Source organism: Homo sapiens, chromosome 3 (genome assembly GCF_000001405.40).
Source record: "Homo sapiens chromosome 3, GRCh38.p14 Primary Assembly".
Taxonomy (NCBI): Eukaryota; Metazoa; Chordata; class Mammalia; order Primates; family Hominidae; genus Homo; species Homo sapiens.
In genome coordinates this window covers 137,998,379-138,011,155 of record NC_000003.12, presented here as the reverse complement: position 1 = coordinate 138,011,155, position 12,777 = coordinate 137,998,379, and the positions used below count along the sequence as shown (strand labels likewise).

Genomic DNA, 12,777 nt, shown 5'->3' with positions numbered 1-12,777 from the left:
GTTGCTATGATGCATATTTGAAGTAATTATCTATATTAAAAGCAGGGGTTTAATTTATTTCATCTTTAGGGGTGAAAGGATGTCACATTTATAATTATATTTATATTCTGACATAATATAATTATAATTCTGTAATTATATTTTGATATACATTGATTTTTAGGACAGTATACAAGATATTCTTAATACAAATGCAGCAAAAGGATATTTATAATTTAATGGCAATATTCTTTTTGGCACCCACAGAGACTCCAACTTTGAAAAATTTAATTGAAATGGAAAGAAAATTAAATTAGCTCTCAATAAACTTTTCCAGATATAACAAAATACTCAGCATCCTGCTTCCCTGCTCCCATGTATGTGCAGGCAGGAGCAAGCCACATGCAAGTAATGCACACAATTTATTTTCTCCTTGAGAAACACGAGTTTATTCCAGGTATCATGAACATACCCTTACAATAGACCCATTCTTCTTGAGGCCTGCCTCCTCACTAGCGATTCCTTCGCCTTGAGTATTAACCCTCCCATTTTCTCCTGCATGACTGTTGCCCTATTAGACACGAGCCAGCTTCTCCTTTTATTCACACCTTTCATTCTGAGCCAGAGCTGCCAGGGTCCTCACCCAGAGGTGGGAGTGGGGCTTAACGCAAACGCCCCCTTCCCTGCTCACCTGGTTCACCTGGCTCTACCCCGGGGTGCACGGTGCCTACCTGGAAGTCCCAGGATGGTGAAATAGGGCCTGCATTCGGTGAAGCCTGAACTCTGCCTCACGCAGCTCCTCCAGAGCCCTTCGTACTGGAACACGGAGGTGACGGGGTTGTCGTACAGGTCCTGGGTGCTCCACATGTCCATCCCGGTGGCCGCGATGCAGCCGGCCAGCCCCAGGATGGACAGGAGGAACGCCACCACTTGGCATGTGGTGGTGGACATGATCCTGGCCGCCCGCCCTGCCGCCTGCGAGAAGCTGCCGCCCTCCTGCTGCCGAAGGTGTGAAGCTAACGCGCTCCTGAGGGGAGCTCTTCTAATCAGATGGTTTCCCTAGGCTCTCAGTATTTGCTCACAGTGTTTTCCTTAGATAGCTCAGTTTCGCTCCTGGTTCAAGGGCATTATTTTTACATTTGTTAGAGAAGCGGGCCCAAGAGGCACTTGTCTGCTCTCCGCAGGCCGGGTGGGTTCAGCGCAGAGCCGTGCCAGGGAGCAGAAGGACTCCCTGCTCCGGGCCAGACCGGCCTCCCTCCAGCTCCGGCTCCTCCGGAGAGCGCCGCCATCTGGAGAAAAGGCTGACGTGTCCCCACCACGGGGAACGTGACTGCAGACCACTTTGGCTGACCTCGCTTAAGATGGCCCCTGGGAAGCACCCACCGTGCTCTGTCTTAAACCAGACTTTTCACATTTTCTCCTCACAACTCATGAACGACTTTTTTCACTTACATCTTTCCATTTTGATCTTACAGAAATGGGTAGGGCAGGCACTATTATCCCCATTTTTTGGGGGTGAGTCAAGAAAAGTACAGATAAGTTAAGGGACTTGTCCCAGTGCCTGGAACCACAGATACTCTAAAAACGGCAGGGGTGGGGCTCCCACCTCAGCTTCCAGTCCAGCGCTCTTTCTCTGTTTCCATATGGAGCAGCAGGGGCAGGCAAAATTGTCCCCACTTTTGAGAACACGAAGCCAAATCCTAGATCTATGCTCTTGGTCCATAAGCATTGGAACTGGGATGAGAGGAAGCCAGGGACCCCGTTGATTTCCATGTCATGCTTTCACTCGTGCCACAAGAACCACATGAGGACTCTGTGGCTGACACAGGAGGTCCCACAAAGGCCAGAGGAGGGACCAGGGTTAGCTGGGCTGAAGTCCTTGGCCTGGTCACGGAGAGGCTTAGGATCTGCTCCTGATGCTGCCCCTAACTTGTCGTGTGCTGGGCAGGTTGGGGGCAAACTCCTAAGCCCTTGTAGGTCACAGGTTCTTCATCCACAACATGTGAGATCTAAACTAGAACACTCCAGAGCCTTTTCAGATCTCATACACTATCTTCTACATTTTGCAGAAAAGTTTTCACTAGAATTGGTCAAAATATTAGGAATTGTATAATCACAGTAGAGAGACTTGGCTGAAGACATCAGGTGTTATGTTTTGTCTATACAACTAAATTTTGCTAGAGAATTGGTTGACGGATATGGGGGCCAGGTATGTCTGGCCTCTGAATCCAGAGACTTTTTAAAAATTTTTTGAGATGGAGTCTTGCTCTGTTGCCCAGACTGGAGTGCAGTGTTGTCATCGGGGTCACTGCAAATTCTGCCTCCTGGGTTCAAGCAATTCTCATGCCTCAGCCTCCAGAGTATTTGGAACTATACATGCATACCACCACACCCGGCTAATTTTTATGTTTTTAGTAGAGACAGGGTTTCACCATGTTGCTTACGCTGGGCTCGAATTCCTGAGCTCAAGTGATCTGCTTATCTTGGCTTCCCAAAGTGCTGGGATTACAGGCGTGACTCACTGTGCCTGGCTTCCAGATATATTTTGTTTTTATTTATTTATTTATTTATTTTGAGAGGGAGTCTCACTCTGTCGCCCAGGCTGGAGTGCAGTGGCGCAATCTTGGCTCACTGCAACCTCCACCTCCTGGGTTCAAGCGATTCTCCTGCCTCAGCCTCCTGACTAGCTGAGATTACAGGCGCCTGCCACCACACCCAGCTAATTTTTGTATTTTAGTAGAGATGGGGTTTCACCATGTTGGTCAGGCTGGCCTCGAACTCCTGACCTCAAATGATCTGCCTGCCTCGGCCTCCCAAAGTGCCAGGATTGCAGGCGTGAGCCACTGTGCCCAGCCCTCCGGAGACATTTTAATGACACTCTCCAAAATCTGGACCTCAAGGCCCTGAAACATACACACACACCCACACACACCCCCACACACCCCCACACTCCCCCCCCACATACATACTCCAATCTTTAACCTTTATAGGTCTTTACAGGTTCTCCAGGAAACGAGCCTCTGTGTCTGGACATTTTGTTATCTTGGGTGCACCCAGCCTCTGCTCCCACTGCATTATTCCCAGCAAACACAGAAAGCAAATAGGGAAGAACTACCTCTAATTTGAATGGAGGCAACACTCCCCTTCACTGCACACCTTACTTTAGGTTCTGTGATCAGTGTTTCTAGTGAAGCATGAGCCAGAAAGCCTAAAATAAGAGGGTAAGCAACAGTTACATGATCTACAGTGAAGGAATGTTGATGGCAGTGTGTCCCTTGAGTTGTTACAAGGCCAATTCTAAAAGGAGGGAAGGGAACAGTTAGAAGTGACACTGGTTTCTGCTGGTGGGCATAGATTGACCAATTAGGTTGAAAACTGTTGTTGGAATAATTCAGGAATGATTCTACCACTGTTTCCATAGACAGAGTCTATCTTACTTTTATTTCAACCAACAGGCAGGCTTTTTAATCCTCATTTTAAAAATTTATTTCATTTAAAAAATTTATTTTACTTTAAGTTCTAGGATACATGTGCAGAACGTGCAGGTTTGTTACATAGGTATACATGTGCCATGGTGGTTTGCTGCACCTATTGACCCATCATCTAGGTTCCCTCCCCTCACCCCCCCGACCCCCGACAGGCCCCAGTATATGTTGTTCCCCTCCCTGTGTCCATGTGTTCTCATTGTTCAGCTCCCACTTATGAGTGAGAACATGTGGTGTATAGTTTTCTGTTTCTGTGTTAGTTTGCTGAGGATGATGGCTTCTAGCTTCATCCATGTTCCTGCAAAGGATATGATCTCATTCCTTTTTATGGCTGCATAGTATTCTATGGTGTATATGTACCACATTTTATCCAGTCTATCATTGATGGGCATTTGGGTTGGTTCCACATCTCTGCTATTATAAATCGTGCTGCAATAAACATATGTGTGCATGTGCTTTTATAGTAGAATGGTTTATATTCCTTTGGGTATATACCCAGTAATGGGATTGCTAGGTCAAATTGTATCCTTTTATTCTTAAAAAGCTCTATTGGTTTGATTTTCAGATGTTCAATTTATGACATTTGTCTAACCTTCCCCCGACAATACATATACATGTGTTAGAATACCACCAAAAACATAGATTGAAGATGGAAAAATAAAAAAATTGTTGATTAAAGTTATCTATTTTTCATCTATGGCAATTCCCCCCCCAGTTTCCCTATGCAAATGTTTTCATGCAGAGTTTCAAAATAGGGAAAAATGTTATTCAGATAATAAGGAATTAAATTTTCTTTCTTGGCTGAAATGGTGACAGTGACACTTTTTTGAAAATAGAAAAAGTTAATTTTAAAGGATAAACTAAGACTATCTCTACCTAGGCAGAATACTGAATGAGAGGAGTGAAATTGTAAATCTACACACTTCTTCTGTGTGAAATAAATACTGATGTGTTTTAAAACACCTGGAAGATAGGATTTTTCACTTCCTGGTAAGTTTTCTGGGCTCTGAGCAGACTACTATTTTAGCCGTATCTGCCAAAAAATGAATGGGGGTCTGCAGAGGAAAATATGACTTTCTCATTTATGGCAATAGGCTTTATTGAAACATATCAATGTATCTCTACCAGATAAGTCCAGGTCTGATTCTGTTTAACAATAATGGGGTTGGTAAACTTTGTTTAATCACCTTTAAAATGGAGCTGAATTTTTGCTGACTTCCTAGGGGAAATCATCCCTGCATTCAGGTTTAAATACGGCCCTGGCAGTGTCATTTCAGGTTGTAAGTTTCCAAGAGCTTATATTATTTTACTGCCATTGGAGAAAACATTTCCACCACTTTTTATAACACTGTCTATGGTAATTAGGCAAAAATGGTGGCATAAATAACAATAGAAAATATTATAGCTAGGAATTAGGAAGAAATAAAATGAATATACTAGTGAGAAAAATAATTGACACATCTATTAATTTTTTCTTCAAAAATATTACCACATATATCCCTAATTTTTAATTTCACCTTTTGGTGTTCATAATAGAAAATTTGGAGAGAATTTGAACAAATTGCTCACAATTTTAAGCCCTAGACAAAATATTTGGCATACTTCCTTCTTATCAATTATCTGTATGTATTTTTTTACATAATTAAAGGATAATATAGTTTGATGTTTTGCTCTTTTCACTTAATTGTATTAGTTTCACCAAAGCTCTTGTAAACATCATTTAATATGAGTGTGTTAGTATTTCATTATATAGAAGTGCTATTATTCACTTATTTTTATATAGTTAGATTGTACCTTCCCCCATTTTTTTGAATAAAAGGCAATGTTATGATGAACATCTTACATATAACTCTTTGTCAGCATTTCTGATGACTCTTTTAGGATAGATTCCTAGGAGTGAAATTAAGTTGTCAAAAACTGTGAAGTTTTAAAAAATCTTTTTTTATACACAACCATATTGCTTTCTATGAATTTTATCCTAACAGCAGTGTTTGAAAGTTCTTATCTCTTTACATCCTAGTCTACATTGTGAATTTGGTAAGTTATATATGTATATGATTACTTGTTTTAACTTGCATCTCTTTAATTACTGAGTTTGAGCCTTTTTGAAAAAAACGAATATGAGTTCATGTCCTTTGCAGGGACATGGATGAAGCTAGAAACAACCATTCTCAGCAAACTAACACAGGAGCAGAAAACCAAACACCTCATGTTCTCACTCGTAAGTGGGAGTTGAACAATGAGAACATATGGGCACAGGGAGGGGAACATCACACACCTGGGCCTGTTAGGGGGGTGGGTGGCACGGGGAGGGATAGCATTAGGAGAAATACCTAATGTAGATGGTTAATGGGTGCAGCAAACCACTATGGCACATGTATACCTATGTAACAAACCTGCACGTTCTGCACATGTATCCCAGAACTTAAAGTATAATAATAATAAAAAATATTCATCATCAAAAATAGAAAAGAAAAAAAACAAAAAACCCAACAAGTTTGTATGAAGCATTTGATTTTTGTTCTTTTCTTGAATTGTCAGTTTGTATTCCTTCCTCATTGATTTACTAGAATTTTAGCACTTTTTCTATCAGTTTATCTGAGCTATGTATTTATTAAGGATTTTAATACATTGCTGTAATTACTAAAAACATCTTTTCCCATTGATTATTTGCTTTTAAATTCCATACATGATTTAGAAAAAAACATATAATGTATTTTATTTTATGTGCTTCCTGGTGCCTGGTACATAAAGTATGCTCAATAAATATTTGTTGAATGATGTAGTCAAATAAATTTACTTTTTCTTTGTGTTTTCTTCCACTATTTCTATGCTTAGAGAATAATTTCCATTTAGGAGATAGTTATTCTAGAATTATTTTATAATTTTAAAATATTTAAAATTATCTTATATTTTTAAATATTTAATTAATCTAGGATTTATTTTGGTATATTTGTTAGTTATACTGTAATTACTTTTTCCTTCAAAAAAAGCTAGTCAATGACTTCTGCAACATTAACTAAATAAACTTCCTTTTTCTTCATTGCTTTGTAAAACCTCCTCTATCTTGTATTCAACTCACATATATGTCTTTCTGATTTTAGATTTTATTCCATTAATCTGTTTGTCCATCCTTATGCCAAAGCATACTTTTAACTTTCAAAGCTTTAAAATTTGGTTGAATATCTGGCAGCGTTAGCCCATCACTTTATTATACTTAAAAAAAAAAACTTTCGTTTTTTTTGTCTGCTTCTTCTTATACCTAGACACTTTGTCAAGTTCCCATGGGGAAACTCTTGCCGGTATTTTGATAAGAATTCTTGTAAAGGAGAAGAGCTGAGGCTCTGAAGAACGCCTGTATGGTCTGAATCTTCATCCTGCCATTTACTACCACAGTGCCATTAGGCAAATATTTTAACCTCTTTGTGCCTGTTTCCTCACCTATAAAATGGAGATAATACTACTACTTACTTCATAGGGTAGTTGCAAAGATTAAAATATGTATAGGTAATTTATCTAAAATTTTTTTTTTGAGATGGAGTCTCACTGTGTTGCAGTGGTGCAATCTTGGCCCACTGCAACCTCCACCTCCAGGGTTCAAGTGATTCTCTTGCCTCAGCCTCCTGAGTAGCTGGGACTACAGGCGTGCACCACCACACCTGGCTAATTTTTTTGTATTTTTAGTAGAGACAGGGTTTCACCATGTTGGTCAGGCTGGTCTCGAACTCCTGACTTCAAATGATTCCCCTGCCTTGGCCTCCCAAAGTGCTGGGATTATAGGTGTGAGTCACCGTGCCGGGCCTAAACTTTTATAATTATATAAGTTATGTATATTAATACAGGCATATATTAATTTCTTTAAAAAATTTTTTTATTATTCCTGTCTCTCCAACTAAATCAGAGCAGGCATATGTTAATTTCTCAAAACAATGCCTGGCACATAGCAAGGTCTTAATAAATTCTATTATTATTATCATTACACATTAATTAGGGACAAATTTACATTTTAATAATAGCCCCATCTAGAAGCCTGTATTATATATTTCCACGAAATCTTTAAACAATTTGTTAGTAAAACTTCTTTCATTTTGATTTTGCCAAATATTTAAGCATATTATTCTTAAGCGTTTAACGTATCTCATTGTACTGTGCACTCCACCTGCCCTAGCCCATATCACATATAAGCAGAACTAAGTCCTTTTAATTTTCTTAACATAGTACATTCTCTCGTGCCACTGTGATTTTCCAAGATGATGGTCTCTCTTTCTGGAAAACCCTTTGCCTCTTTATCTTCTTGGGTAATTCATATCTGTTGTTATTAACTCAGTGCAGCTGTCATTCCTTTTGGAAGCCTTCCCTTTCTTCATGGTCTGCACCCTGTACCAGACATGACACTTACTAAAATTTATTGCTGTGGTTCTTAACCAGGGATGATTTGCCCCTTAGAGGACATTTGGCAATGGAAGGAGCCACTTTTGGTTGCCATAACTGGTGTGGGTGGGTATTGATGCTACTCTTGTCTGGTGGGTAGAGGCCAGAGATGCCTTTAAATGTTCTACAGTATACAGGAGAGGCTCCCACAGAAAAGAATTATATGGCCCACAATGTCAATAGGGCTGACGTTGAGACTGTTTACTGTATGTCTGTCTTCCTAGATTTATGAGCCCTTTGACACCTATATTCCCTATGTGCAGACAGTCTGGGACATAGTAGGTGTTCAATAAATGTTTGTTGAATGAATAAATATTTCTTCTAATGCCACAATTTCTATGTTGTTGTTTATTTCCTTATTATTTCCATGTGTGTGAAAGGACCAAAGACCTTTGCTTTTTGTTCCTTGATCTCTCCAAGAAGGGACTTTGTCTAAACCCAATCAGCCCAGAAAAGGTTGACTACTGGTTATGGGCCTAGTGAAATGACTTTGCCCAGGAAGGTGACCACCAGTTCTATGCCTAGGGTTTCTCTGGAAGATTTGGTTTTGTCTGTCTTCTTCCCTCTGAGCCTAAGTGTCTGTGTTTCCATCCTCAGGGTATGTTAACTTCTCAATGGAAATTTAAAAATTCCATACTTTCATTTCAATGGAAATGAGAAACAAATTAAAACAAGAATGTTCCAGATCCTTTGGCTGGCTACTTATGGATTATGTTTATGTTGGTGTTTATGATCGTATTTGCACCAGAGGACAGCCAAATGACATCCTCAACTGCTAATGAACAGAGTCATGTAGATTAAACAGAAAACAGAATTGGGGGAACTCCAAACTCAAATGCCTGCACGCTGGCGGTCAGTACATTAGCATCACCTGCAAGCATTTCACAGGCCTGTCTTTGGTCAGACCTGATTGCAACAATTATTGGCAGTAAATACACACCAAACAACTTTTTTTTTCCGTCTAATTCTAGAAATAAGTGGGTTAAGATAGCCATTCAAACTGGATTTCAGGAGCACCACAATACAATCTTTCCTTAAACAAGGAAGACCACTGCAGAGAACTACCAAGTCGTAGACACCTCACTACCCCAGACATCAGAGAATGCTTCGCTGAGAGGGTGGTGGCTAAGTGTGAGGCATGATTACCTTAAAGTTAATATTATTTTGTAAAACAGTTCTATGTGAATAGAGAATCTATGTCATTAATATCAAGGTTGAACACTAAAACAGGTGAAATAAAAAAAAAATCCACTTGTTTGAGGTTGTTTCTTTGTCCTGTTTCACCCCAAATGAAAATGAACACTATCTCTCACACTCAGTTACATTTTAAATTTGGGCTTATTAGTTTTTTAGTTTTATGTATCTTACATTTGCAAATGTGGTTTTTGTACTTGTATAAGACATATGCATAAGGAATTGAAGTCTATTGTTATACTTGTATATATTAAAATAACATTAAAGTAAGTATACTTTAGATCAACCTTGATGGTATGCAAGAATTTTTTCTTTTAAAAGGGCTTCTATAATCTATATTCTCTTTGAAAAATACTTCTATAAACTATCTATTAAATAGTCAAAGAGTTTTATTTTACACACACACATGCGCACACACGTTTTAAGAGAAGGCATAACAGGTAGATTCAATCTGGTTCGTTTTTAGATCTTTGAGCCTGGGCGAATCACCTTGCTCCTCTGAGCCTCCATCTCCCTATCTCTCCAGCATAAGAATGGGGGAATGTTGCCGGGCGCGGTGGCTCACACCTGTAATCCCAGCACTTTGGGAGGCCAAGGCAGGCGGATCATGAGGTCAGGAGATCGAGACCATCCTGGCTAACACAGTGAAACCCTGTCTCTACTAAAAATGCGAAAAAAAAAAAAAAAGAATGGGGGGATATTGACAGCTGTTGTTAGTCCAGGACCCCATTCAAGGAGAATTCTGTATGGGCCTGCAGCATCAGACTTAGGCAAGAGATGAGGACAGGAAGGTGCTTCTGCACTGGGAATTTCTACTTGGGTCAGGAGAGATTTCTGCTTTGTGTTTAGGGCTCCCTATTAGGGCTGCAAGCCAGGGCTTAGGTGCGGACAGGACAGGGTTTTAGCTCTGGCTACATCTGCAAGTGTCCTTGGGCAAGTTACTCAGAATCAGTTTTCTTGTCTCAAAAATGATAATTGTAGTACCAAACTAACAAGGTGGCTGTAGAGATTATACAAAATATTGTAAGGCAGTTGCCTACTCAAGTGCTAGTGCATGATTTGTCATTGTTATTTTCCCTTTGTGAAGCAGAATGAAGCCCTCAGATATCACTGCAGGTGCTGTGTGTGGCATGAGGTCAGCCATAGGCTGATTCTCCCCACTATGGCCTGTAACTGCATGGACCGAGGTCCTAGCCACTGGGCAGGTTTTGGGCACTTCGTATCTGCAGTGAGGGAGAATCTCAGTGGCAAATGGTTAGACCAAGAGCTAAGGAGGGGTCAGCAGGACATGGGAACGTGGAAGAGGTTCATCTTCCTTCTGGTCCTTAGTGGAGGGAGACCTCACTGACCAGCTGCCAGTTACCCACCCATCTGGCTCACGTTCCGCTGTTTATACCCAGTCCCTCCTTCTCACTTTGGTTCTACTGCCTTTGCCTTTGACTGTCCTACTGATTCAATCTCTTTAGCATCTTCTTGCCAGATTAATATCCTTGAAATACCACAATCCCAAACCAACCAACCAACCAACCAACCAAACAACCAACCTCTCAATGGCTTCCAAACACCTTAGCCTGGCACCCATTGCTCTCCATAATCATCCCCACATAAACCTTCTTCTCCCGCCAAGGTCATTCTCTCATTGCCCCTGAGTAAGACTTGGGCGGTGGCACCCTCATGGCTTTGCCCATGCTGTTTTTCCTTTCTGTATTGCTGCCATCTCCAAATCTTAACTCCTTTTCACAAGACACTTGTGGTTTTTCTACCTTGATGGAGTCTTGCAGTTTCACCCTCTTCTCCTGCCACACTGGCCCTCTGTCTCCCTCACTTGGCATATTGTCATATCCAGCCTGGTGCACTCTTTTATATTTTTGGGAATGGTAGGCCCACAGATTCCCAAGGTTATAGGAAGCTCTCCGTAAATAAGTGTTGAATGTATAAAAGAATAAATCACCGTATGATTCAAGTCTTCTGTTGTTACCTTTTTTGTGTGTCTAAGTCTTGACCCTGCAGTCAAATGGCAAATTCCTGGAGGAGAAAGCCCCATATTTTCCATTTCTGATCCTGTTTACATTGCCCCCCTTAGATCAATGCCCCTCTCAAGACTTCAATATGTATTTATGAAAGAAACAAGCAAAAATAAAAACGACAAATTTATTCATTGTCTTACTCTCTTATCTGAGTGAAAGACATTTTTAACATTCTCTACTCTTGTGACTTGAATTTTTCTTCTAGTTAAAATGACCAATCTACTAAGCAAATAAACACAATCCTTGTGTATTGAATATGCCAATCCCTAGAAGGGGGCACGGCAGCCTGCAATACCTTTCCCTGCATGGCAGCGCCCATTTGCCACAGCAGAATCCCCTGTGCAGAGAGCGCCCTGAGTCTGGTTCCTTGTCACCAATATTTTCTGGAGATCGGGAACCTGGAGCCCCAGTGCAGGGGCCCATCTGACGTCCCAGGGAAACACAGCCACCTAGTTCTTTTTCTCTGCCTTTTTCCTCTGCCCGATTTCTATTGCTGTTGCTTACTTAGGTGTCCCTGGAAGCTGAGTTCAGGCACAAGGAGGCCTGAAGATGGAATCTGTTCAGGAGATAGGCAGTCCCCAACTCAGTGAGGGGGAATCCCGGGGCCGAAGGAACAAAGTGGCCGAAGTCTGGGCCTCCTGAGTCCTGTTCCTATGGGTGATTGAGACTATGCCATTGCTCACATAGGAGTTATTGAAAAAATAAGTTCCTCTGGGAGAATTGGGCACCATCCAGTTAGGGGAACAGGAGCTCAGACAGCTCCAGAAACTTCCTCTCCCTAAGGTTCCCGTCCTCCTATTCCACCCTGGTGCAGGTGGCTGTTGCCCCTGTCAAACACGAATCGCAGTTCCTCCCTCCCCAGCAGTCCCTGTCGTGGTGCCCAGACAGAGCCTGCAGTTTCCTCTCCACCTCCAATCTCTCCCTCCAGCCAGCCAGACACCTGGCCCTTACCTGGCAGCCCCAGCAGGGTGAAGTAGCCCCGGCACTCGGTGAAGCCAGAGCTCTCTCGGACACAGGAGCGCCACAGCCCCTGGTAGTTGAAAACAGCTGTTACGGGGTTGTTGTACAAGTCTTGGGTGCTCCACTGGTCCATGCAGGTGGCAGCAATGATGCCCGCAATCCCAATCAGTGAAACCACGAACCCCAAGCCCTGACAGGCAGTCACGGCCATGGTGGCGCACAGTGTCGACACAGAGCCACACGACAAGTGGACAGCGCAATTCTGAGACTACCGAGTGTAGGGATGGAGTTTTCTCTGAGAGGCTGGTGTACACGTCAGGAACGGACCATGTAATGGAGGCGGTTACTCACCAGTGCCACCTGGGCTTGCCCTACTCCTTTATCTATTGAAGTGAGATAATTCCCACAATAGGGTACCAAGAGTCATTTGTTTTCCACCATATGTACACTCTACTCACTGTTTACCTTTTGAGGGAGTTTCTTTCCTGATTAACCAGGCTCCCCTCTGTAGAGGGTAAAGCAAGTGCAGAGGTGGTTGCCCGGAAGGCACTGCAGATTGGTCAGGCAGGGCTTCCAGTAGTTAAGCCACAAAATACTTGGAGATACAAGGGCTTCATCCATGTGGCCCTGGGGACTGAGATACATGCTGCCACCTTAGTTAAAAAACTTAGGCAAGGCCGGTTATGAGGCATAATAAGGTA

At 41.9% G+C, this 12,777-nt stretch overlaps 1 protein-coding gene across 2 annotated transcripts in view; it reads right to left on the bottom strand.

The window, feature by feature from the left end:
- CLDN18 (claudin 18) overlaps positions 1–12,340 on the bottom strand; it is a 34,834-nt gene extending 22,494 nt beyond the window's left edge. Inside the window, exon 1 of one of the 2 annotated variants that reach the window (NM_001002026.3) lies at positions 12,068–12,340. In NM_001002026.3, the coding sequence (NP_001002026.1) occupies positions 12,068–12,287 (220 nt within the window). In that variant the 5' untranslated portion in view covers positions 12,288–12,340. Of the gene's footprint in view, positions 1–710; positions 992–12,067 lie in introns of those variants that run through there. The other variant, NM_016369.4, reaches the window with a different exon arrangement.
- Positions 12,341–12,777: the final 437 nt, after the last annotated feature.